At 38.1% G+C, this 27130-nt stretch overlaps 1 protein-coding gene across 28 annotated transcripts in view; it reads left to right on the top strand.

Annotated features, from left to right (window-relative positions):
* The window catches only part of MCTP2 (multiple C2 and transmembrane domain containing 2), a 252587-nt gene that overhangs the window by 119634 nt on the left and 105823 nt on the right, over positions 1–27130 (top strand). For 22 of the 28 annotated variants that reach the window (NR_169532.1, NR_169528.1, NR_169531.1 and 19 more), the window contains 4 exons: positions 5138–5302; positions 7483–7613; positions 16606–16792; positions 19088–19181. Coding sequence is in view for 21 of the 28 variants with exons in the window: in XM_047432839.1 (XP_047288795.1) it covers positions 5138–5302; positions 7483–7613; positions 16606–16792; positions 19088–19181 (577 nt within the window). In the remaining 7 variants the exon portion in view is untranslated. Of the gene's footprint in view, positions 1–4930; positions 5303–7482; positions 7614–16605; positions 16793–17459; positions 17726–19087; positions 19182–26746; positions 27040–27130 lie in introns of those variants that run through there. The other 6 variants (XM_005254960.2, NM_001159644.2, NR_169530.1 and 3 more) reach the window with 5 other exon arrangements.

The following is a 27130-nucleotide window of genomic DNA, read 5'->3' on the forward strand; positions in this document are numbered from 1 at the left end:
TTATTTTTAAGTACAAAAATTGAGTGACAATTTTATCTTATAATTTAAAAATATTAAATTTAATGCAAAGCTTTTATAGCTAATGTATTTGTACACAGATTATTCATATCTCTGGAACTGATACCATTTTTATCTACAAGTATAAATTGCAACTTCTGTGGACTTTTACATGTGGGAAATTTAAAAGGTTTTCTTTTTATTCTCATGCAAGGATTTCTGTGTAGTTCTAGGAGAATTTATGGGTCCAGTATCCTCTTCAGATGATAGAGAGGAGCTGCAGAGAAGAATTTTCCCTGGGAGCCTGTTCCATGGATGTATGGATCTTCTCATGTCATGCAATAAAAGCTGTTGACAAGGAACAGTAGTTTTACATGTTGAAAAAGCTTGAAAGGAATATTTCAGTGAAACATTTTATAGGCTCAATGTTTTCTCTTTAGTTTTCAAAGCAGTGGTCAACATAGTTGGAATCTGACTTTACTACTCATTTTTCTTACGAAGTTGATTTTTTTAATGCATTTGTTTCCATTGACTACTTACTTTCCCATAATGACTTAGGAAAAACAATTAATGACAGTCAAAATGGGATTTATTGGCACCACGAGAACACTGATATGTTTATCCTTCTGTCTCTGAGACTATGTATGGAGTACCAGTACATTATTTGGCACCTGGCAGGTATGCTCTGGTCAGTGCCTTTTCTTACTTCTCTCTTTGTTGGTTGGCTGATTGGTATTGTGTTATATGCAAGAGAGTATTTTGGAGAATTATCCCGTGGGTATTGCTTGGCATCGTCAGTTCTGGAGTGCCACCTAGTTGAATGTAATCTTGCTTTAGATGGCCGTAGGCTGTGGCTCCAGCTCCTGACTTCATGCCCTCCTTTTAGGATTTCTTTCCTCCTGACCTCTCTGCCACTCTTCCTGGCCTGGGACAGATAAGAGGCACCACCTGGCCTCGGACAGATAAGAGGCACCAAGCTGACCTGTCCATCCTTCCTCAGTTTCCTCTGCAGCCATGCCAAGGAAAAGGGATACTGGAATTCACATCACTATCTCCCCAGCTTGTCCCCAGGCCCAAAACATCAAATAATGTATGCCACCAAACTGTAGTCCATTTCATGTATTCCAGCAATGACAGTACATTCCCTGTTTTAGAGTCTAGTCCTAGATCAGAAACTTATGAGGATTCCCTACCTGTTTGAATCTGCTGGGTATAATTTTAGTCCCACCGCAAAGTTTCTCCCCTTCCTGCCTCGGGATGGTCTTGAACGAGAAGTAAATTAGTGTTTTCAAAGCTCTTTTACAGAAGTTAATATGTTTCTAACTGGCACAGCACACCTTGTTTTCACTATTAATAACTAGCCAGTGTGCCTTAAGTGGAAGTCACCTTTTCTGTTTTAGAAAAATGGGTGGGGATTTGGTGAGGTGGGGGCTGAGAAAGACAGAGCAGATGAATGAATCAACATAGGAATAGCGAAAGGTCTGATCCTTTGGGAGGAAGGAGAAAAATAACAAAACCCTGATGTACTGTATTGTATCCATTATGTCTGCTGAGAAATTAGGGTCAGGGGCCCGAAACTTTTCACTATCTCTTGGCGTCTGTTTCAGTTCAGGTGGGGTGGCTTTCCCCTGTGATGGGTCATTTCCTTCTCTCCTTTCACATTCCAGGCTGCATTAAGATGACAAATTTCACGTATAGGTTCGGGCACAGGCATGAAAACCTAAGCTATTCAGCTGAGTGAGTGCAGATGAGTTGATTTATTGTGAGGGAAAAAAGGGGTGTTTGAAGAGCACAAAAGACTTTTGCGAGCCCAGCTCTGCAAGAAAGCACACAATAGATGGCCCAGGCCCTACCCTGAACCCCAGACTCCCTGGTCTGAGGCCTCATCAAACCTATCAAGTATGGAAGAGAAATGTTAAAGTAATTAAGAGACGTCTTTAAAGTACACCTCCTCCAGCATGTGTGGATCACAGATGAAACTTTATTTGAAAAATAACCTTATAGTGGTTTGCAGAAATATTTGGGGTATAATAAGTAGAATAAAGGTCTTGTGTTCTTTTCTATCTGTGAACTCTGCAATAAATACTTCTCCTGCCCTCCCTTTAGGAGGGGTAGAAAAAATCCTGGACAGCAGAGAGCAAGTCCATCAGATCAAACATGACTGCGTTAAATACTAAAATGTTCAAAGTCCGACTGAGATAGATAAAAGCTTTGATGGAAAGTGGATATTTCCCAGGGACATTACAAGCAATAATCCAGATGTTATGGTGTAATGCAGCGAGTGTCCATGGATAGATCAGGAGCTCCAGCCAAGTCGCGCCTGCTACAGTCCTCAGCCTTGCCCTCCCATGCTGTTCCGCCATATGGAACCGATCTCTAGGCCCCCTTAATAACCAGCTTTGGATTCCATTTTCACAGAGCTCATAGAGCTAAGTGGAGCTGTTTTATGGACAAGTTAGATAGAAGCCTTTCCAAGATAAACATCCAATTTGAAATTAGGACATACCAAGCCGCAAAATTATTTTAGGGCATATTTCATGGAAGTGCTGCCATTTTTCTTAAGCAATTGCCAGACTGTAGGATGCCCTTTGATCCTTTGTGGACATTACTCCCTTTTTTATAAAAAGGATTTTGAAATAGATGCAGTGTTTAGGGAGGAATATATCTGTCGGAACTTTGAAGCATGGCCGTGGGACAGGTCATGCTTTAGCTTGTTGGTTGGCAAGTCAAACTTTAAGAAGAAAAAAAGCAAAAGGAGGAATTGCAGCAGGATATATGAATCAAAATCTCATTTTTGTTTTAAAGGTAGAAGTTTTTAGCCCATGTACTTAATAAGCTAGAAAATGTATTCAGTATATCGATATCTATATAAACATCTATAGATATATGTGCATATATGCAGATACATCTATTTATATATTGTGATGGTGTCTGTTTATGACCAATACAAAAATCACTTAATATTAACTGTTTCATAAACCTTTATTGAGTATATCTGGAATATGTTATTTTTATATATAATAATAACAATAATAATAATCATATATTATTCCGGATGGAACATATTCAATAATAAAGGTTTATGAAATAGTTAAAATATTCCTATACATATATTCCCATATATATATATGAAGTAAGAAGGAATTACTTATGTTCACCAGAGAAGAGGATAGTTCTTTCTTTTTAAAATTCTTTCCTCATTTGCCCCTTCTGTTCTGTCTCAGCACCTGCAGAACCTATGTGTGTGTGTGTGTCTGTGTGTTTTAAGAGAAAAGTCACATGGATATTGATATGGTTAGACTTTGTGTCCCCACCCAAATCTCATCTTGAATTGTAATCCCCATAATCCCCACTTGTCAAGGGAAAGACCAGGTGGAAGTAACTGAATTATGGGGGTGGTTTCCCCCATGCTGTTCTCATGATAGATTCTCATGAGTTCTCTTGAGATCTGATGGCTTTATAAGGGGATCTTTCCACTTCACTCGGCACTTCTCCTTCCTGCCGCCTTGTGAAGAAGGTGCCTTGCTTCCCCTTCACCTTCCATGGTGATTAAGTTTCCTGAGGCCTCCCCAGCCACGCTGCACTGAGTCAATTAAACCTCTTTCCTTTGTAAATTACCCGCCAGGCAGTTCTTTATAGCAGTGTGATAACGGAGTAATACAGATAGGAAGTTTGGGAATATGTGTTTTCTTGAATGTATTTTGTTTAAGATTGTCATAAATGATCAAAATACCTAGTGTGGCATTGTTGCGTCACTTATTAAGAGTGGTGGAGTGGCCTGGGTTCGATGAGGTAAGCTGGGCTATAATGACTATGGTACTGACATACCATTTGTTGTGATAAATTGTGACTAACTGCTGTCCGAGCAAATTGGTGTCTAAATGATCTGGAAGATATAGCGAGCGATGACAGGAATGAATATATAGTGTTAGAAATTCATTGCTCGACGATGATGCTCAGCACCATTTACATTCTTCAGCCCATTTATTTCTCCTTCAATAAAGAAGCCTATGCTTGTGTTATTTCACTTACTGAACGGACAACGTAAATGAACTCTGCTAACTAAATGCAGCGTGTGGATCATGTGGGGATCCCGACTCAGACAAACTAGCCATAAAAAGGCATGGTTGAGACCATCAGGGAAATGTGAATATGCACTGTGTATTTAATATGCTAGACAACTTATGGTTAACGCCATTGAGTGTGATCATAGCAGGATTTTTATGTAAAAACAAATGTGGATTTTGCTTTAAGATATTTCAACCAGAAAGGAATGAAAGCATAGGTAAAATAAGATTTGCCAGACAGTGAATCTGGTAATTAAGTACATGGAGATTTATTATACTCTTCTCTTTACCTTTGTGTATGTTTGAAAATTTACATAGTGGAAATTAAAAAATGAAGTGTGACTACTCTATTTACAACTTATAACAGGACATTTGCCTTTTTCCTCCAAGGTATGTATGAGTGTGAGTAATATAATTTAGCAAAGGAAATAAGAGTTAAGTTATTGAACCCCTCCTGGGTCCCAGGTGCAGTGAGATGTGCTTTATACGCCCCCTTCCCTCCCACCCCCACTCCAGGTCTGCAAAGCTCATTTGGCCAGCTAGGCCACTGGAGGCTCTATTTGGACTAGTGAATCTTACATGGTATAGGGCTTTTGGTAGTATCCCAAGGAATAAAGAGAAGTGGAGACAGATTCAAATGTGAAGGATAAATTCAAAGTCATTATTTCTGAATGCCCAGAGATATTTTGCTTCCTTGCAAGGCAATGCCTTGTTCTGGTATAATATCTCTGTTGCCCAGAATGTCTTTCTTCCTCTCACACTATTAAAATAGCTAAAGGCCCAGTTGAAGGAGTCCCACCAAAGAGCGCATCTGGGTGGGAGTACCGGCCAGTGCCAAGTCAAAGTGTTGCATATACTCATCCTTCACTATATTATTACCACTCCAAAGCTTGAGAAGGAAGTCACATAACTGTGACAGCAGGTTTGCAAAACCAATGAAAAAAACAGTTTTCCCCAGGCAGGGAGGAATTTTTTTTATAATTAAATACTGAAAGTTGGAATTCCTATGATCATCAAAGTCACTCTCAGGAATTAGAAGCAAGTTTACATGTCATCTTTATTTTTTGCTTTAGTCCTCTTTGATACGCAACCTACGGCTCTCTGAGTCCTTGAAAAAGAACCAACTCTGGAACGGGATTATAAGTATAACTTTGTTGGAAGGGAAGAATGTCTCAGGAGGAAGCATGACAGAGATGTTTGTCCAGTTAAAACTGGGAGATCAGAGGTATAAAAGTAAGGTAAGTTCCATCTTTTCCATAAGGAGAACAGTATCTTTAAAATAAAAAAAAATTAAAAATTGTTTCCCACTTTAAATTTTACAAAAGTAGAAGTAATTTATGTTCAGCCCGCCTAACTATATTAAAGAGCAGAAAACAAAATAATTGTATAGATGCAGTCAATTAATGTGGGTATTGTTTTAATTGCTTAGTACAGTTTAATTTAGTAACTCAGAGCTAGAGAAACCTTATTAAATCATAGATTTGAATGTCTGACTTATTTTCAATTTGAAAATAAGCAAACTATGTTTCATAGAATGTGGGAAAAGGATAAGTAAAAGTTTTCAAAATGCTACAAAAATAGAATAGCATAATACGTGATATTTGGGTTAAAATATGTGAGATAATTAAAAATATTTGCTTTCTCTTGCTTGCTAGTCTTCACGCCAAAAATAGTATCTAGTGCTGCTGTTTTTTGCTGGGATTAAAAATAATAAACTATCCAAAGTATGAAAAGTGATTTATTTTAAACAAACATAATGGCATTTTAACTGTCTTTGAAAATAATTCATCTTATTCTGCTGATCCAAATTCCGTTTAATTTTTAATCTTAGTAATTTGGTGTGGATTTTATTTCAAAAACTATAGTCCCTAAAGCGTGATAATTAATTAGTTTTACATAACTGTCAGACAGGAATATTTCCTATGTTTTATGGATTGAAGGAGCTCTGGGGTACTTGAAACTTAAATCACTTGCCAAAAGCCACACAGGAAAAAAAAAATCAGTGGACGATTTTGAAAATATAACCGAGGATATTTCTAGCATCAAGGATGCAGCAGATACAGACAAGTTGGAAAATGATTTAGGGAGGCAAGAGGTTGTGCGCACTGCACAATTTTCAGTACAGAATCAAATATTACATGTCATCTACTCTAGCACAAAGTAGAGAATTGAAGCTCATGTTGAAGAATAGTTTATAAAAAATGTGAAAATTGAGGGTGTATTAAGACAGAAGTATGCAGATAATTATTTTAACCAGGTAATTTCAGGCTTTGCCTCACAGTGAGGGTATCCAGGATAACCATATCTCTCTACTAAGATTCCTTTAGCTTGCCAGGGTCAGGCTAAGGATTTAGGAAAAATTATTCATCACTAAGCACACTTAGCCATTTGGACTAAGGTGAAGTGTAGAATTAGTTCAGTATCTGCTACATTCACCCTTGGGGAATACTGCATTTAATTTGTGGTCTAACAGGGCTTTTCTTGTTTTTTTTTTTGTTTTTGTTTTTTTCCCAACCTGGTTTCTAAATTCTGTGATCCAATATATTAAGCCTGATGTGAAAAACAGCTGAAATGATTTTACATGACATTGGCTACAGCCGAGGTCTGAGTTCTCTATGTTTTTCTGATGCAAGAATAGTTAGTACGGGGATTTAATACCTCACACTGCACCCCTAGAGCCTAATACTCTGGGACCAACATTCTTGCTCACTTTGTATTCACATATTTAATCTCTATATAAAGGAAACAAAAATGAAAATCCTGCCAATAAACCAAACGTAGAAGCAGTTTGAATCACTTTTGAAGAACACAGAAACACTTGTGGAGTTTTCAAGTCACTCTCGTTAATTTTTAGGTTTGGCTGCAGTGGAATTTCCTAGTCTTTCTCCAATCCTAGTAACTGGATTCACTAACTTTGGATTTAAAAATAGGTAGCAATATACAAGTCGTGGGTTTCTCATTTAATGCAGCTGACAGATGTTAATTAAGACCCTAAACTGTTAATTTATATAGTTAGTAAGCTAGCATTGAATGGATATGCCAACAAAACTGTTACTTGCATTCAATTAAGCAATTAGTGTGATGTCCTATAAGACAGACAATTGTAAGATGTCTGCTGATATATGTCCACTGTGTATGTGTGTGTATATATAATTTATGGTTTCCTGTGAGGTAACAGTACTCTTTGTAACTTGGTGGATAAATTATTGGATCTGGGGGGCAGCTAAGATAGTAGTAATGTTTTGCCAGTTCTTGAACCCACCAAGTCCCTTTCATTCTAAAAAAAGAAGTTTACCTTTATAAGGGGTGAGGTCCATCATCTTGACCCTCTGCAGTTTAATGATGAAATTAATGTGTAGCTTCTGTAGCAATGAATGACATTTTAAGAAAATAAATATTATAACTGCATGTTTTCTAGACACTGTGTAAGAGTGCAAATCCGCAGTGGCAGGAACAGTTTGACTTTCACTACTTCTCTGACAGGATGGGCATTTTGGACATTGAAGTGTGGGGAAAGGACAACAAAAAGCATGAGGAACGTCTGGGCACGTGAGTCCCCTCTGCTTTCCAGTGGCGGGAGCATGTTTCTGCATGGGGCTGGTTCTGAGAGGTGATCTTTATCTGTTAGGGCTGAGGGCACTACCTTGCATCCCTCACCCCAGAGTGCCATCAGTGAGCTGGATGGCCAGTCCTAACTGGGGGAAAGTTTGCTTTTCATTTTTGTTTGTTTAATTGGGAAATGTCATTCAGTATTGATTAAAATAGTGTGTGTAAGGAATTATCTAAATAAAGTTAAGCTGCCATCTCAGACTATTCAAAACATTTTATATAAATTTCCAATATACGCTATAATTTTGGTTTTGCTACCTAGCGAAATGTTATATAATTTAGTAAAGGTCTAAGGCTAGGTGTTCCCATGATGGAAGCATTTCGCTGTCCTTGATGTACTTTATAGCACACCAAGGAATGGAGTTTGAGGCCAAATCTATTTTATTTTATTTCTTTACTTTTGGACCCTCTCAACTGAGACACTCACATGTGTAATGAACAATAATATCAATATTATTGCTTCTTCCTAGGGTTGTAGTGAAAAATACAATGAAATGAGGCAGCATAGGTGCTGTAACCCGCGTACAGTAAGCAAAAAGGAGATGCTGGCAGAAGCACAGATCATCTCTGAGCTTCAGAAAAGCCCTTTGAGTTACTGGTATCATGCTCATTCTATAGATGATGAAATGGAACTTCAGAAGTTTACACATTACTTAGTCATGAGCTCCAGAGTCAGGATTTTGTGTTTTCAAACACCAAGTAGTTTTCTCCATCAAATCACTTGCCTTGTGTTCATTCTGTATACATATTATTTGTACACAGATCTTAAATTTAAACACAGATGTTGAAAGGGATCCCAACCACTACGGGGTGTCTTTTCCGAAGCTGGATCTTGGGTTCAGGGAGATGCCTTAAGGTCACCCCTTGAGGAATGGGAGGGCCTCCTTGCACCTCTCCTCTGTGGCCAGAGCATCTCAGCTTTTGCCTGTGCTCTGTATTGGGATTCCATTTGCAGAAAGGGTTTTGTTGCTGAAAACTAAAGATTGAAAACCACTTTTCTAGTAAAAACCCCTTCATTTTACAGACAAGGAAATGCAGAGGCCCAAGGAAGTGAAATTTTTTTTCATCAGTAAGGTGTTTAGAGGCATAAACAGATTGAGACCCAGCTAACCCAATACCTGTGCAGGGCTTTTTCTCAGTAAAATGCTTAGCACAGTGTTTGACTGCTTCTTGTCATTGCCTCATCCCACCTCAGAATCCTGAGATAGATGCGTGAGGAGTTCAGTACCTGTGGAATGTTGCTCCGGTGTCTCTCAATATGGGTACCCTGTTGCATGGGACTGTCTGGCATGTTGCAGGATGTTTAGCAAACCTGGCTCTCACCTGCCTGATACCAGTAACTTTCCTTGATTATTGTGTGGAAAACACACAAGCATATGTGTGCACACACATGCACACACAGCATCCCTTTTTTTCATCACACGTGTCCAAACACCCCTAGGGGACCAGCACTGCCCCCACTTGAGACCTCTCACCTCACCCTCCACATCTCTGGTTGCATTACTTTGCACCATCTGCACATCCCCAATTCTATGCTTGTCTGTTAGATTGCAATCGTTTCTTCCCTGGCCGTCTCCCAGCCAGGTTTGCATTTAGGAGAAAACCCACTTCCTGTGGTCCTGTGGTCCAGTCTTCTACAGACATGGCCTGTCGGATGACTTCTGTGACCTTGTCTCTCACTTCTCCACACATACAGGGTGACTGAGATAGCTCAGGCTCAGGTACTTCTCAGTGTGTCTGACGTTGTCACTGCTGTGATATACCAGGACCCTGCCAATACGGATGGTAGTAGGATTTGAAATTTTGTGCTAGCCGAAAGAGCAAAGATCAATTACGCAAATTCAGAGAACTCTGTGTCCCAAAGTGTTATCTGAACAGTGGGAACAGGGGCCTCCTGTGATGAATGGCCAGCGTGTTGTTTTAGTAGGTGCAAAGAATAATGCCCCTGCATTTCACAAGTCATTGTGCTGTCATGCTTCCTTCACATAATAGGAAACGCTTTTCCAAATGAGTGTTGGGTTGCTTCACAGAGACAAAAAAAGTAATTTAAGATGTCTCTTGTAATCCATGTTTTGTCATTTGGGTGTTCATTTATTATTTTAGCTATTTCCTGTTTATAACCGAGACATATACCTGTCTTGGTGGTCATTCTGTTCTTCCTCTTTATGAATTTTAAAGAATTTTTTTTTTTTGGTATCCTTTTCCTTTTTCCTCTCCTGTAGTACAAAAGATAACAAAAGTATCTCTTGGGAGCTGGTGCTACTGCTTTACCCTGCCTCGAGCTTGCAGGTGGGGGAAATCTACGGTAAAATATCGACTGCTTCTCAGACTGAAAGATTGTGCTAGCATATGTACATCACTGACATGCTACTTATGGTTCCTTCTTCCTGGCTATTGTTTAAATATTTCAAGTTTTTTTTTTTTTTTTTTTTTTTTTTTTTTTTTAACACATTTGCTTTTCTTTGTGATCTTCATTCTAAGGCCCAGCTATTTTCCAACTGTTGGGAAAAACCTTTTTGCATCAGGAGGCTCTCTGCTGGTGCAAATGTATCGTAACTCTCCTCTCCAAAGCCTGTCTCATGCTTTGTTTTTGGATAAAACCTTGATATTCATAATTGAACATTACAGTTAAAAATCTAGATGGACTCTCTGGGGAAATTCTCTTCAGGGAAGCTGTGTAGGCAGTTCAGTGGGAGGGAAGGAACATCAGCTCTGGGGTCACACATCCTGAGCTTGCTGATAATCACACTGTCTGCTAATTGTGGGACTTGGACAGTGATTCCCTGTGGAGTCTGGCTCTGTATCTGTATAATGGGCTCACTCGCCAACTGGCAGGGTCATCATGGCTAACAGTAACAACATCTACTTGACACTGTTTATTCCCTTGCGCACTCTGATGGTAGGTATTACTTATTATTAATTTTGAGATTTTTCTGCACGTAAACTGTAGGTCCTCACAACTTGGCAACTCAAATTATGCAATTTAAGAAAATAAGATATGACTAGTAAAATTCAATGTATTTTTTTCCTCCAAAACAGCATAGAATTTTTTGATATTTTTTGGTAAAAGTGGGCAGTGACCATCGTCAAGGACATGGTAGGAGGGGCATCCATTGATGGAAGGATTGGGCAGTGTAGGTCAGCCTGAACAATACTGAAGTTTTATAACCAGGTATGATAAGGCTGGGGTAGTGGTTGCTTATGTGTAGAGAAATCACATTGGCATGGGTAGGTTGTTAGCTTGGTGATGGTTAAAACATGGACCTGCCCCGTAGGCCCCTCCTCCAGGCTCTCCTGAGTCATGTGGAACTTGCTGACTTCCCCTTTTTCCATAGTCCACCGACCTGCAGATTCCCCCTGAGCCACAAGTAACTCCTAAAAACACTGGGGTTGGTGAGATGAAGGTGCTTGGGTAAGATCAACCATCGCCTGAAACTGTGTTGCCTACCGACTCCAGTGTTTGTTCATGGGCAAAACAAGCAAAAAAGCATCTGATCTTAGATAGAAACAGTGAGCTTTTAGGGAAGAGTAAGACATAAAGCTAAGTTTAACCGGCTCCAACTTTTAAACATAATGTCAAGAGTATGAATATAGAGTAATATAGATTATTCCATTTTGAGCCATTTCAAAGTAATCATACCAATTTCTTAAAGTATATTTTATATTTCAAGGGGATTCTACAGATTAACTCATTATAGAATTTTCTAGACTTAATTTAGTTTGGAAAGGTTGAGAATGGGAACCCACAAGGCCATTTGGACTAGCCTGCCTCAGAGTCCCTCCTCAGTCCCAGATGGTGCTGTATAAAGCAGCTCTGACATTCTACCAGTTTATTAGCGGCTCTGAGGCAGCGAAAAATCTGGGCTGGAGTATTTCTCTGGACAAATTGCACCCCATGTCGTTGATCTGCTTTTACAGCCAGGCTTGACACATTCACCATTTTCCTCCTGTTCCCTGGCTTCCTTAGCCTCTGAGATTTACAGCTTTTAAAACTCTAGCACTCTTTTCTGCCCCTTGCCTTTGAGTTAAAAGCTGACCAGTCTGTAATATAAAACATAGAATTATGGTAATGAATAAGAGGTTAAAAGCTATCATGGCAAGTAAAACTTGAGCAGGTTTGTCTGACTGATATGGTAAAATTATGTGTTGAATTAAAACATTAAAACGCTGTGGGATTAATGGAGAAAGACAAGAATGGGAGGTCAGAAACAATGCTAAATCAGCACATTAACTGCCTGTGGGCTAGAGAGGCTGGCTTTAATATATGCCTTTTGCAGGAAAGGGAAAAAAAAGTAATTTAGTCTGTTTTCTTCAGGTGAGTAGAACAATGGCATTTTAAATCTAAGAGGCACCTAGTAAATACATTTATTTCAATTCCTTTCCTACATAGGGGAAGAAACAGAGGCTGCAAAAGATTTAGTTAGTTCAAGAAAAAACAGTATAATTTGGAGTTTTTGACTTTGTGAGTTTTGTTACGGCGCTGACATTCATTCTTTTGTGCGTTCAGTGTATTCAAATCTTCAAATCTAGAGCACATTGTATGCTGGGCAGAAGGCACAGTACTTGAGGATTCAGTGGACAGTGATACAGAAAAGGCTGCTGTCCTTGGGCACTGATGAGCCTCGGGCTACTACAAGTAAGCAGGCAGTGGCAGTAGGTGGAATGAGGGCTGCAGGTCCTGGCATCATGGATACCAATTTGGGCTTAGAATGGAAGCGGAGGCTTCCTTGAAGAACAGCGGTCTAAGCTGAGACTTGTAGGAATAGTGGTAATTAACAAGCAGACAGGAAGAAGAGCTTTCCAGGAAGACAGCAAAACATAGGCAAAGGTCTGGAGAGGAGAGAGAGCACATTCTCTCCGAAAACCTTGATGGAGTGGAAAAATCAGTGGTGTCACATGATAAGGCTAGAGATGAGGGCAGGGGTGAAGGCACAAAGCCACTGGATTCCATGTCTTGCAGATGAGCTATGGGAGTTCCTTCCTAGACACTAACACAGCAGTGACTTGGCTATTTTGATTTCCATCGTGTAAATCTTGTTGTTGCAGTGGAGCTCCTATTGATTACATTTTTAAAAAGCTGATGTTGGAATAAAAATTTCCTGGTCACCTAAGGGCTCGGTGTGTTGCACCTTCTGAACGACTGTCCAAAGACATTTAGTCTCCTTGTGTGTGAAGTCATATGTGATGCCACCGGAACAGACCTAATTGGTTCATGCTCATTAATTGAATTCCTTATATAGATGCCCTGCGTGTGTGTTTTCCATATTGTTTCTATCAGACAGAAGAGAGCAATTTTTATAGGTTTTATTGCTTTATCCATTTTTATTAACTAACAGATCATTGGATATTTTGACCAGCGTTTCTTGAGCTGTCGTGAGTTAAAAAAATTTACATTAAAAAAAAAAAGACGTGTAATTCACCACCACTAAATTACAAGTATTTCTGTAGTTCAGGGGTCAGCAAACCAGGGCTTGTAGGTGAAATCCATATGGCTGCCCGTTTTTGTAAATAAAGGTTTTTTTTGGGAAAAAACCTTCATTTGTTTACATTGTCTGTTACTGCTTTTATGGTACAAGGGCTGATTTTAGTAGTTGCTACAGAAAACTTATGGCCCACAAACCAAAAATATTTAATTATTAGCCCCTCACACCTGCCCATAACAGGGAAAGGCTAATCCTGTACCCTACCCATAAGACATAGCCAAAGAGAGGACAGAAAAGAGCAAGATTTTACTGGTCTTCAGCAGTGACTAGAAAGACATAAGAGCCCAACCAGATTATTTAGTATTTTTTGCAAGAAGAATCCATTACACTAATGAAAAAGAAGAAGTCTAGATTCTTCTTTTGAGATTTTTCGTGTTAAAGGTGTCTTTGATTAATGTATTATAGAATGTTTACGTCTTAAAGACTTTAAATTTTAGTCCATTTGTCTTTGAACCTAAGAAAAAAACACAAAAAGCCATTTTGGTCATTTGATATTTCTCTTTTGGGAGGTTGGATGAATATTTTGGTTAACATTATTTGCAATTTGAGGGAAAAAAGCCTTTCTTGTTAAAAAAAATTCTGTTGCTTTTCTGATAATGCAGTAACCTCTTACTAGGTTGGGGTTAATGAAAATAATTCTCCCAGTCTCTGGCTAATGTCCAGAGCTTCTGGTTCTCCTTCAAACTTTATGACAAAACTGGAGCAGTGTGAGCTGGAGTTGAAATAGGTTAAATATGAGGCCTGAAGAAGGTTTTGTATGAAATACATTTTTTCTGTCTCCCGTCTTTCCTCCTTCTTCCAGAATGTGGAAATAAATGGGGACACCAGGTGGGTAGAAGAGTTACAGAATGTTTATAAAAAGTCATCATTAAAGGGGGCCTACTATGGTAGCTTTAAATTAATTCTGAACATACTGGTTCATGTGGTGGGTCAGGACCTCTAAGAGGCTGGGTCATAACCCATGTCCAGAAAGACTAAGTTTTAATTTTGATTGATATGATGCTAATATCATGATGCTAATATATCAGTTTAACTTGTTCCTTCTAGTCACTGAGAAAGTACAAGTAAATATTTGGCTGGATTCACTCGTTAGTTATCAAAGACTGTAAAATCCATTAAGCTGCTGCCTAAATCTTCAACCTGTTGCTCAAAGGACTCTAATATCTAAACTACAAATGGCTATTTTTCATGAAAGTGTTCATTCTAGTGAAGGGACTGATTTTTTTGTAATAACGTAAGTGTAAAACATTCACAGTAGACAGAAATGAGTGAAAAGCTTGTGAAAATGTGTAATTTTGAGAAGAAACCCAATATTTACTTTGCATTTCATCTGGTATGTGGTTCAGCTTTTACTTAAAATTGACAAACTGCTCTGTTCCAATAAGTTGAGCACTTAAACAGTCGCTAGGAAAATTTTCACAGTTATTCCAATTATGGTAATACTGCTCACAGCGTTACTAGAGTACTCTAGAATTAATATCAGGTTCATTTTGAATTATCCAAGAAAAATTTTAGTAGCACTTACTTATATATTATTTTTAACCTTCAAACATTATTAGCTGTCAGAGCACTTGTATCTAAATAAATTTTGGCTGCTCAAAGAACCAACAAAACCACCATCCCAAAGGCAGATGTTTAAAGGACAAAAATAAATTGCCATTATTAATGGTATTAAAAAGAATGTGCCATCAATAGGCTATTGTTAATTTGTAACATTGTGATTAGCAGAGAAAACTTCTACAAATTTGGATTATTTACCTTTCCATAAGAAAGAGCTTTACTAAATGAAAGTGTATATAACAGTGTAAAATAATGCTTAGCAAAGTATTCCGAAGTAGAAATATTACTGCAATATTGCTCAAGAATTTGTGGGGACCTACTTTTCTAGAAATAAATGGTTTAAGGCAATAGACATTTCTTTCTTTCCAAGCAAATTTGATTTCCCACTTACATCATGCTTATGAAATAAAAATATTTATTAACCTATATTTTCATAGATAGTAATGCAATTTAACTTTAAAAGCTTCCCTATTGATACAGAAAAATTGTTTTGATTCAAATCAGAGGATTATTTAAAAATACTTTTTTTGTAATTTGTCTCCCATAGAAATATTTGATGAATTTATTACATGCAAAAGCTCTAATGGCCACTCCCACCTGTAATTGGGGTCACTTTTGATAAATAGGAAATAAATGCCCAGTTAAGTTAATTATATGGACACATATTGGTATGTAAAATATTTTAAAATCTTGTAATAAAGTCTAGTAGAGTCTTTTAATGTCATATTTATTTGGAAAAGTGATTGCTAGCTTTCTCTTAAATTTCTTAAAGTGGAAGTTTTCATCCACATAGCCATGTGGCTCAAAATTGCCATTGCTTTATATAGTATGTAAGTTAACCTATTTGTAATTAACTGCAAATGTACAAAGTCCATTGACAGCTTAGGGTAAGAATCTATCCTTATTGTTCTCTCTGGGGAGCAGTGCTTCCATCCTTTTCTGAAGTCTTGAATATTCATCTTATTCTATAATTATGGAGGGTAAAGGAGAATGTAAAAAAAAATGACGTCTGGGAATACCATGCCCCACTTTACTCAACCCCACCTACTTCACCCACCTGCATACATAAACAGAGCAGGTGTGGTCCAGGCAAACCCAGAGTTGTCAGTGTTAAGGCAAATAAATGGCTTAGCACCTCAGTCCCCCTTTTTGGTGTTTGCTTCTGTATTTAAATGTGTTTGAGGTTTTCAACATCCCCAGAACATTGGCTGTTAAGAGGCGGAAAACATGCAATTTATAGCAGATGGGTACAGCCTTTCCTGGCAGAGCTGCTGAAATGGGATCAATCAACAGCACTTCATGCTCCATTTGTCCAAAAGAAACCCACCTGGGGAAACCCTGTGGCACTGTGCCTATTAGGAAAACACCTTAACGTGTTTTTTAAAATAAAAATTCGCCAGTTGGCATTAATCAGGAAGAAAACGATTTCTCCATTAACCCTCTCCCACTTGCCTTTCTCTTATCTTTTTTTTTCCTTCATGTTTTGAGCCATGATCCTTTATTCTCTTTACTCATAAAAGGCACAGCCCACGGAAGCCATACAGCATGCTTACTCATAAGGCTTAAACTTTCAAACTTTTTCTTTCTAATTTTTGATCTTATCTTTCTGCAGACCTTATTTGGCAAGGATCCACTCCTCTCTTTTCATTTTCCATCTGCCGATGCTGCCTTCTTTTTGATTTTCTGGACCTCTTCCTCTCCTTAATTTTAGAGTGTGTTAGGCTGGGGGTGAGCATTATGAATTAGGGCAACCTTTGCTGCTCAATAAACCTAAGACCAGACAGAGTGAGTTTTGGGGGATGATGAAATCAAAGCCAGGTGCTTTGGAGGTACTGCAGTGGCCTTGAATTAATCACTTTTCTCTCTCTTGATTCCTGAAACTTTTCTAGGTGTAAAGTGGATATCTCGGCACTCCCTCTGAAGCAAGCCAACTGCCTGGAGCTGCCACTGGACAGCTGTCTGGGGGCTCTCCTTATGTTGGTCACACTTACACCCTGTGCGGGGGTCTCCGTCTCTGATCTGTGTGTCTGCCCCTTAGCAGACCTCAGCGAAAGAAAGCAGATTACCCAGCGATATGTGAGTGTTTTTCCTTATTGTACACTCCCCCTCCTCCCACCTTCTCTTTTAAAACAAAGTCTTTATTGAAACAAAGTCTCTGAATTGAAAAACTACATCAAAAGAGATCTTTGTCCCAAGTTTCCTTGTACGTCATAAAACAAGACATCAGACTTAGGGGTTAATGCATTAGTGAAAAGGTGACAGTAGAATTAAGAGTTGGTTTTGCTATTTTGAAAGGCAAAAAGAGATTCTGAATTTTTAGCGTTTAGCAAGTCTTTGGGGAATGTTGAAATCCCCAGGGAAGCAGACTCCTGCTTAGGCTGTGTGTGTGTGTAAATAGGACTTTTAATATGAGTTCACAAATAACTTTACCAGCCATTAATGGTTGCAATGTTATGGATACCTTTGCAGAACTTCTTAGGATCAAGTGAGAACCTGCTCATGCCTTGTAAAGCAATAACACTAGCTGGACATGAAGAACCGCTGTTCTGAACTAGTCTGGATGATAAGAGCAGTGTGTGATTTCTCCCTAAGTAGTTGCAATGAGCTTAACAGTCCACTCAGCATTTTTAAATGAAATGGCTGTGTCCTCTTCATTTATTTTTTGTACTCTGGCTTTCTAGGTGCCTTTATTTGCATTCTGCTTTTATCCTATCTTCTGTATAAATCAATATGTTTATTTTAGTGCCACACAGGGAAAGCACGTTTTAGGGAAGTGGCATGAAAATGAAGCAAAGATGAATCCCTATTCAATGGCACTATCATTCTCAGCATAAACTTTAGTGTCTCCAGGATCCTTCACTGTGTAGATGTATTGATTAATTGAATAATTCTGTATCTTCGGGAGTACAAGACCTAGCCACATAGCTCATTGTCAATGCAGAGTGCGCATGTGAGGCTGGCATACTGTGAAGAAGGTTTGACACAACTATTAACATTCTCTCTGATTAGGTAAGCAAATGAAAATTAATGGTGAAGAATAAAACCTTTCCCCAAGCTTTCCAATGGATAAGTTGACAAATTTACCAAATTCATGAGGAGTTTTGTGTGTTTATAAAGGAACATTAGATACCATCATAATGCCTGCTTTGAATAATACTTTAGGATTTGAGGAGTAGTAATCGAAAAGAGGTTTGAAGAGGCTATGGTCAAAGTAGAAATAGTGAGTGCTTCTTCAGCTAGCAAGCTAGCCAGCACATTAGAGGGAACGAATGCTGTTTCAAAGCACAAGTTACAGCCCCCTGGATTTGTTTTTTAAGTTATGAGGACAGATCCTCTTTAAAGGCATTTCCACTTCTAAATTGTAAAAGCATTTCATTTCAAATGCGTTCTCTTAGTTTAAAAACTAATTGTTTTGTTTGTTTAGGTTGAAAATATAGAGGAGAAACAACTTTCAAATGTTTTTAGGAATGATGCATATTAAGTTAGGCAAACTGTTATTAAGCTTGTGTTATTCTACCTGAAATGCCTAAATAGCAAGTATTTTAATAGCCTTTCGTAAATCCTTGAGGTCTGTTTATCACAGGTTTTTAGCTATCTAATGATGACAGAAATAGCATGTCCAGAGGTTTTGAGGCAGTATCTTTTTCAGTAGGTGTGTTCTGGAGGCAGGAGAAGAGAGTTTATCTGCCGGCCTCTTTCATGCACAATTTCTTAAGGATGCCATGTATATAAACACCCAAATATTGCTATATGTGCTTAAGAATGAGCAGTAGATACATTCAGACTTTGGCTGGTACAAACTCAAGGCTAAAGTAAATATGAATCTAGGGTGGTACTAGATACTTAATCTCTAATTCAATGAGCTAGCTAAAACAGACCAGAAAATTCACTGTTTCTGCCCCAACTCTCTTTAGAGTGGTGATAAGTATCTCTGATGGGTCCAAGTTTAGTCCTCTGGAATCCATAAAGTTTGTACTAACTAGGTCAGAATAATGTTGTGTTTCAGAGTGATTTAACAGTTGCATTAATGAGAAAGAAGGGGGAAAAAGAGCATCAATGTAATTCTACCCACACGTTTTCCTGGTGGGATATCTATGCCATCACCAGGGGCGATGTTAAAAGTAGATTCGATGTGCTTCTAATTGGTTTATTTTAAAGCTGTCGTTAACTAATTCTCAGTCACTTTTCTTTTAATCTGGCTGCTATAAGTGCCTAACCGTCCTGTTATATAATATATTTTTGGGGATTTTTTTTTAAAGATTTCATGAGAAAAAGGAAGATAAATCTAGGATGCACTTCCTATAGGACTTTATGACATTAAGTAGTATATTAAAAAGCTGTTTTCACTTGTATCACCTTTTCAACCCTCAGTGCTTACAGAACTCCCTGAAAGATGTGAAAGACGTCGGCATTCTACAAGTGAAGGTTTTAAAGGCAGCAGATCTCTTAGCGGCAGATTTCTCAGGTACAGGACATTTTCATTTTCTAATTTATCTTTATTTATTTCCTGCTTTGAAACAATCTCCTGGCAAAGCAAAATGCTTAATAAGCAGAAGTATGACTATAACAGTCATGCTCCTTCAAATAGAGTCATAGCAAAAAAGAGGCAGACTTGAGCAATTTCTTTCACATAAAGCACCTATTTACACAATTATTTCTTTCAAATGATTTTATGCTGATTCAGTAATATTCAAATCTATTGAGCTTCAAAAACATTTGTGGAGTATGAGTCACGACTTCTTTATTTGTTAAATTAAGTTGTTGGTCAAGCTTTTCTATGTAACCTCAAATGACAGCGATTCGACTTCTCGCCTTTTGCTGCTCTCTGTGCTGAATGGTTCACATGGTTCATAAATCTGAGCTTGAAGTCAGATCTGGCTGGCACCTCATCGTAATAATGACCAGAGCCTAGGCCCTGGGATCACTTTGCAGTTGACATTGTCTTATAGGAAGTTTCTCTTGGTGCTTCTGTAACTTGAACTTTTAGAAAGAGGCCAAAGCAGACATGCTTTGTGCTGGATTATGCTCTGCTGCACGTAGAGTAATCCAGACACGCCAGTGTCTGACAGCGACTCCGCACTCATTGCCAAATTACCCCCTTCTGCTGACTAACAATTTAGCCGCCTACATGACAGATGCTATTTACCAAGTAAATTGATGAATACAAAGAGTATTCTACAGCATGGTTCTATCTATTGATTCAGGATTGCATGGTTTTTAAAAATATATATCTCATATTTTTAGAATGTGGGCTACTCTTTTTCTTCCTTTCAGACAGGAACAATTTCACTATATTCGTACAGCCTCTAAATTTCTGAGACTGAGTTTGAGGAAGTTCAACCATTGGAAAAGAGAACTTTAGTTTTCAGCGCATTATATTACAGAAATTTTAGGAAATATAAACTTAGTTGAAAAAAAAAAAAGTTCTCCTCACCCTGCTCAAAAATGAAGCAATAGAAATGACTACCCTATAAGATGATCCTGACTAGTGAGAAGATCCAAAAATGGTTTTTGGGCCAAATAGAAGATACAATTTTTGAGGCTTGTAGGTGAAGTACTCAGATGATTGCTCTTAATATTCACTAGTATTATTGCAAATGTTTGTAATCTCATGTTAATTAAGACATTTTTCTTTTTACTTATATTTTATGAAAACAGTCAACATTTCACATGTGCCTTTGACATTAGTGGTTCTGTCATCCCTAAAGCACATTTAGAATTGCCTATGAATTTTCCAGAGAAAATTATTTTTAATTCCATGTAATTGTTTACATGCAGCGCTTTTCGAATGCACTGTTGTTTTTCTCTCAGGAAATGTCTCCAGCCCCAAGAACTCATTTATGCCTTCCAGCATTTAAAAAAATTCTTTCTGTAAGTTGCATATATATATATTTTAATCTCCAGTGACTGATTATAATGCAGTAAGAGTATTTTTTGAAGGCTTGTTTACAACAACATCCATATGTGGAAACCCTTTGTTTTTTTTAACCCGCGATGGAGTCCTGCTCTGTCGCCCAGGCTGGAGTACAATGGCGCCATCTTGGCTCACTGCAACCTCCGCCTACTGGCTTCAAGCAATTCTCCTGCCTCAGTCTCCCCAGTAGCTGAGATTACAGATGCCTGCCACCACACCTGGCTAAGGGAAACGCTTTTGAAAAACTTAATTTATTTAGCCTGTTCTATCAAGTAACCTCCATAAAGCCCCCAAAACTAGTTTTTATAAAGATTGTTTCAGGCCAGTGTATCATCTCCAAAGAGTATTTTGACTATTAAAATAGAGTGAATAGGAGAGGATACCTGAAGAAAGAGTCTTTGTAAAGACCCTCTCTATGGAAGAATAATTTTGGGAGAAATGTTTTCATCTTGTTGTTTTATGTTCAAGGTATTCAGTAGATAGTTTTGGAGTGCATGAAGGTAAGTACCAACAAATTCCAATAACGATAGCAGTAGTTAGAAATGAAATAATGCTGTGTGGTTCGACTAAATGCCCTGGTGTTTCACTATTTCTGTATTTATGAGAAAATTCTTGCTATAGTGAATTGAGGAAAAGTGATTTGTCATTAGCTAAACATGTGTTTAGACCATAATGGTCTTCGTTTTTAGAACTAAGTCTCACAGTCTATGTTTATACGTTGTCAGGCTCCTGTATGAATCCTCCAGAGTGTTGTTCCCACCAAGGCACTGCTTTAGGGCTACAAAGTGGACTTATTCCAGATAGTTGTAATTTAACTTTTCTATGTGAAAAAAGAAATGGATTCACATTACCGTGAGGTAGCAATGAATACCTCTAAGAGGTCAGCGATCGTGGCCTACGGTGGGGATCAGGCATTACTGCTGTTATCATTATTGTTACCAATTCAAAGTATGTAGTAAAAAAATAAAACAGACCTCAACAGTGTCATTGGATCAGGATCAGAAAAGCCAACCATTTTTGTCAGTGCCAGGAACATTTAAGAAATAAGTATTTCTACTCTATGCCTTCCATTTTCCAGTCATCTTACTTTATAAATGAGCGTTCATTTATTGCAGTTGCTAGGGGAGTAAAGCATTCACCCACAAATTAAAAAAAAAAGCATTTACTCCGGATAACCAGGGACATTCTCTAAAGAATGATGGTCATTTTAGACATGGTGCAAAAGGGAACCTTTCGTTCTTTCTGCTTTTCTTTTATCATATGTTTTTATTTTGTGGTAATTGCATGTTTCTAAGAACAACATGAAGTAACCACAATAAATGATGCTTCAGTTTAGTTTCACCTAAAGTTCAGGAATCCTGATAAAGCAAAAGTCCATAGGGATTAGTCTTGGCAGTAGTCCATACGGAGGTTATAGTTACCGTTTTGGGGGCAAAGGGACCACACATCCTGGAGGAGGAGTGAATGCATATGGTAAACTCTGTGGTCAGTAGTTTCCTAATTTTAAAGACGTCCACCTCTTTTCGAATAACCATTAGAAAAAGAAAATATAGGTCATTCAAGCCACGGGAATCAAATTAGAAGGATATTCCCTGTGAGTTGTTATTGATGTTATGATTATGTAGTCATAAGAAATTAAACTTTGGAAAAATTGAATACTCATTACTATGTTAGTATTTTAGAACATTAGAATAAAATATACTAAGGTGAATTTATTTCTCATAAAGTTGTTTTATCTATAAAGGAAAATAGTGTATACATTTTCAAATGTGTTGAAAGACATGAATAAGCCTAAATCTGTGTATATTACCAGGATTATATTTACAAATGGTAAAGTCTTTAATTCTGTAATGTATAAAAAGGTATATTTACTGTTTTTAAATTATGCCTTTTTTAATAAATATGCTATTTGATTGTGGTTGAAGCTACCTGTTAATACATTTAAATGTATATTTATCTTGGCATTTTTTAGAGTTTCTGACATTTGTGTACAAGAGAGAAGACTTTATTCAAAGAATCTTAAGTAATCTATCTTCTTTGGAGCCTGTCTCTCTAAAATTGGTAAAAGCTATTTTTTCTCAGGTCTATGCCAACGTTAGACGTGGATAGCCATAAGCAGTTATTCTAGTAGAAAAGCCTGTCAAATGTTTTTTAAAGAATTTGCTTCACAAATTCCTTAGGCCCAGTGTAACCTAACATTTTTAAGTAATAGGTGATGCAGCCTGATGTCATTACTTTTGTAGTAAACCAGGCCACAGCCTTGATTCATGAAACAAATGATAAATTGTACTTGGAGGCTCAAGGTGAATAGCTGTGTGTAGTGTTTGACAAGACCAACATACTTCACTCAGCTACTGCTAGTCTTAAAATGCAGGTATTTTAAGAAGAAAACAACTCGCGTTCTAATGATTAACTGAAAAAGAGAAACATTTTATTCTGGACAATGCTGAGAAATGGACAGTATAGCAGGTTTCATACCTACAGTAGAGGCCCAGACAGAAAATTGTGGTATATGCTGCCCAGGGGCACATCTGATCATAAATTAATACTGTCGAAAGAAAATACAAAGTTAATCTCATAAACTGTAAAAAGAGAATATAGTAAACAATGGGTTAATGGGAAAATTGTTAGAGAATTGAAATGTTTTTCAGTCCAGATTATGTTACCTTTCAGTACACATGACAACACCTATGTTACCCATTGAGAGAGATCAGCCAATGAAGAGTAGGAAACTATATTGGTTTGCTCAGCACATGTGTGCAGATTATTCAGGATAGCCTTATTATAGTTGACAGTATGCTGCTGAGAAGCTGCCAGGATTGTAATGTGTTGGGGTTAATTCAGCACTAGGAATTGAAACCATCATGGCCACCACTGGCATGATGCATATGCCAAGATTCCACACCAAATCAGTGATTCTTCCTTAGCATTCTTAGAATCAAAAAGTGGGTTCATATAGCTACCTTCCTGTTACTTAAGCTTTCTCTTTATTAGTTTTATTCTCTAAAATAATTATTGTAAGAGACTTCCTTCCCCATAAAGGATGTTCCAAAGGCAAGAGGCCATTCTTCAGTCTCCCTCTGTTTCACACTCATGGCCCTTACCCTGTTCCTCCCAGGATGCCCCTTACCCACTCAGAATCCTACATAATAGGGGAACTGGAAACTTAGGGGAGTTTACTTTAACTCACCATGCCAAGAGTAGCAACAAAGCAATCAGAGCAGCCCTCCACGCCTAGCTCGGTGGGGGAGGATATGAAGTGACATAACAGCACAACAGAAAATGCAGTATAGGCTTCAATATCCTCTCTTTTTATAGCACAATCCCATTGTTCAATCCGTTTTCACATTGCCATAAAGAAATTCCTGTGACTGGATTATTTATAAAACAAGAGGTTTAATTGGCTCATGGTTCTGCAGGCCGTACAAGAAGCATGACAGCTTCTGCTTCTTGGGAAGTCTCAGGGAGCTTTTACTCTTGATGGAAGGCAAAGCAAGAGCAGTGGAGCAGGAGTCTTACATGGCAGGAGCAGGACCAATGGATAGGGGATGCTACACACTTTTAAATAACCAGATCTCTTGAGAACTCTATCAGGAGATAGCACCAAGAGGATAGCGCTAAACCATTCATGAAGGATCCACACCTGTGATCTAATCACCTCCTGCTGGGCCCCACCTCCACCATTGGGGATTACACCTGGACCTGAGATTTGGGTAGGGACATAGATCCAAACCATATCACTCATCTTCATTTTTCATGTTTCCATTATTCTAATAGTCTATATGTTATGAAGAGAAGCTAGGGAATTATCAGGAGGCAATGGAGGGACAAAACTGGAAATATCATCTTGACTCACAATTTGGAGTTGCTTGCCTTCCAGAATTCTCCTGGGGATTTTTATTTCACCCTTGAGACTTTTTGGCACCCTTTGCCATTAAAAACAAACAAACAAACAAATAAAACCCAGCCATCAATCATGAAAAGTTTCCAAAATATATCTGGATCCTCTTGATATCTTGGTAATAAAGGTGTCACTTGGACCCTTTTCTCTTTCCGTTGTTAATAAAGGAAATAACTCCCAAATTAGCATAATCTCAAAATATCTATCAGAGGAAAAATAAATATGTTTCCAGACGAGAAATCTAGGTTATTATAAAGTATCCTTATTTGATAAATAGGCATGTTAGGGGACCATAACAATTGCCTGATCCAGGAGAATAAAGATACATTTAATTACAGAACCACTGTTTCTTTCCAGAGAACCCAATATAGCTTCCTCGACCACTTTTTAAGTATTTCTCAACTTCAGGAAAGTCAGCTTGGGGGCAGTTCTGGTAATCGACCACAGATATTCATTGAGCACCACACTTGGTTAACAGACACACCCTTAGGGAGCTTGTGATCCCTAAGAGAAGGCTCAATCTTCACTCTGCCTTCACTCCTCTACTGCAGGACATGAGGTGTAGGAGGTGGTGTGTACCTTTGAAACAGATGGAGACCTTCTTCAAAATCAGGGGGTTGCATTTCCAGTTCACTGGTTCCTTGGCTATGCCATTAGGAGGAGCTCTTGGTCTGTCCCCCACACAGATTTGAGCCGTAACTGCAGTAAAATATTCCATTCCTTGGGTAAGTGCATGAGCCTTTTCCATGGGCCCTGGATTCAGCCTTAACTAAACCAGTGTCCAGTTCAATGATTTATTCACTGAAGATAAAAATTAGTGCCCATGTTTTTGCCTTTTGTTTGTATGATAGCTGTCTCTCATTTTAATCCCTATGTCTAATGACATGGGAGATATACAGAAGCAGAGACCCATGTGTTAATCTCAGTTCTCCCACATACTGGCCTTAGGCTCCCTCTAAGCCTCCATGTCCTCATGGGTATTTTAAGGGTTAAATCAAATCCTAAATGAACGTGCCTGATATATATTTTGTGCTTAATAAATGTATTTCCCATTCCTTATTAAATGCATTTTATTAGAGTATATTTGATACGTGAAGAACTGTATAGGTTGTTTTGTTCACATATTGTTTATAATTTCCCTAATTTTAGATCATGTTAGACATATAAGCTGATAACCACTTTTATCTCTTCAGCCACTTTTAGAAATCTAGTTACCACTCTAAGATGTTTCTTTTTGTTTCTATTTCTATTGAGTGCTTAAAAAGAAGGCAAAAAAATATGCTTCATGGTAGAGAAATTCTCATACTGAACTACTTTTGTGCTTGAATTTTACATTTTGATAATGTGGATAATAGTTTTATTAGTATAAAATAGCTTGGCGTGTTCATCTTTTTGTTGTTGTTGTTATACAAAAAAGTGCTATTGTCAAACTGTTGACCAAAATAGGGCACTTAGACCCCACATTATAGAGTAAAAATGTTTCTGCCTTGTACTATGATACTGACTTTTGAGTTGTTTCTGGAAATTATAATAGTGACTACAAGTTTTTTTATATTGCTGTTTTTGTTTTGAAACGTTAAGACTGCTTGTGTCAGAAGAGGAATAGTCTCATGGTTATTGTTCACTGAGTTTTCAACCACATGCCCATATTATGGTTTCATTTAATTGTCTGTCTCTTGAAGCTGTATCCATAGCAATACTTCGTCTCTTAAAGATGCCCTATTTTCAAAGGGATGGCTATAATTGCAGTTTCTAGAAAGCTCAGTAGTCGTGATTGAACGTTTTTAATTTTCAAGAGATCTTCATGGATAGCTAAGCCCAAATCAAGACCAACTTTTGAAAAACACATTAAAAACTACATAAATCTGCCTCTGGCAGGCCGTCTGCTTCAACTGCCTTCCAGAGAACATGGACTGTAGCCATTGCAAAGTTTGGGAGTATATGGATGACTTAGTGGTTTATAACTTAGAGGCACCGTGAGGGTGAATGAATTCAGCTCATTTGTGACATTCCATGAATTAACAGAGGAATCGCTTCCATATTAATGGGTGGGTTCTTAGTAACGTTTAAATTTATTTAGCAAATATACCTTTTCTATTCTCTGTGATGCCTTATGATTTTTCCTGGTGATATGGTAGAAAGGAGGAATTGGTCCCTGACCTCATGTGAAGTGACTGATTTAACCAGTGACTGTCTAATTTCAATTACTGCTAAGGTCAAGAACGTGGTGTTAATTCTTATGGAAGGGATGCCTGACTGCAGATACCGCAGGAAGTGATGTTCTAGCAGCGATGTCAAATAGAGACATGAGAGAGAGTTGGCACCGCAGAGAAGAAGGAAAGGCACTTGAAAATGAGGAAACAGCAATGTTCCAGGGCCCGCCCAGCTTTTTCAGAGGTCTGGAAGAAAGCAAGCAGGACGAGAAGACAGAAAGCAAAAGAAACCTCTCAGGGGAGAGGATGTTCATGTCTTAGGTGGGACTGGATGACATAGGAGCTTCTGGGCCAGGTGAAGAAATTTGGAAAACTATTAAGGGAATGATATGATCCGATATAAACTAACAAAAGTTTATTCTGGCAGCTGTGAGGAGCAAGGATTT

The sequence above is a fragment of the Homo sapiens genome, chromosome 15 (assembly GCF_000001405.40).
Source record: "Homo sapiens chromosome 15, GRCh38.p14 Primary Assembly".
Lineage (NCBI taxonomy): Eukaryota > Metazoa > Chordata > Mammalia > Primates > Hominidae > Homo > Homo sapiens.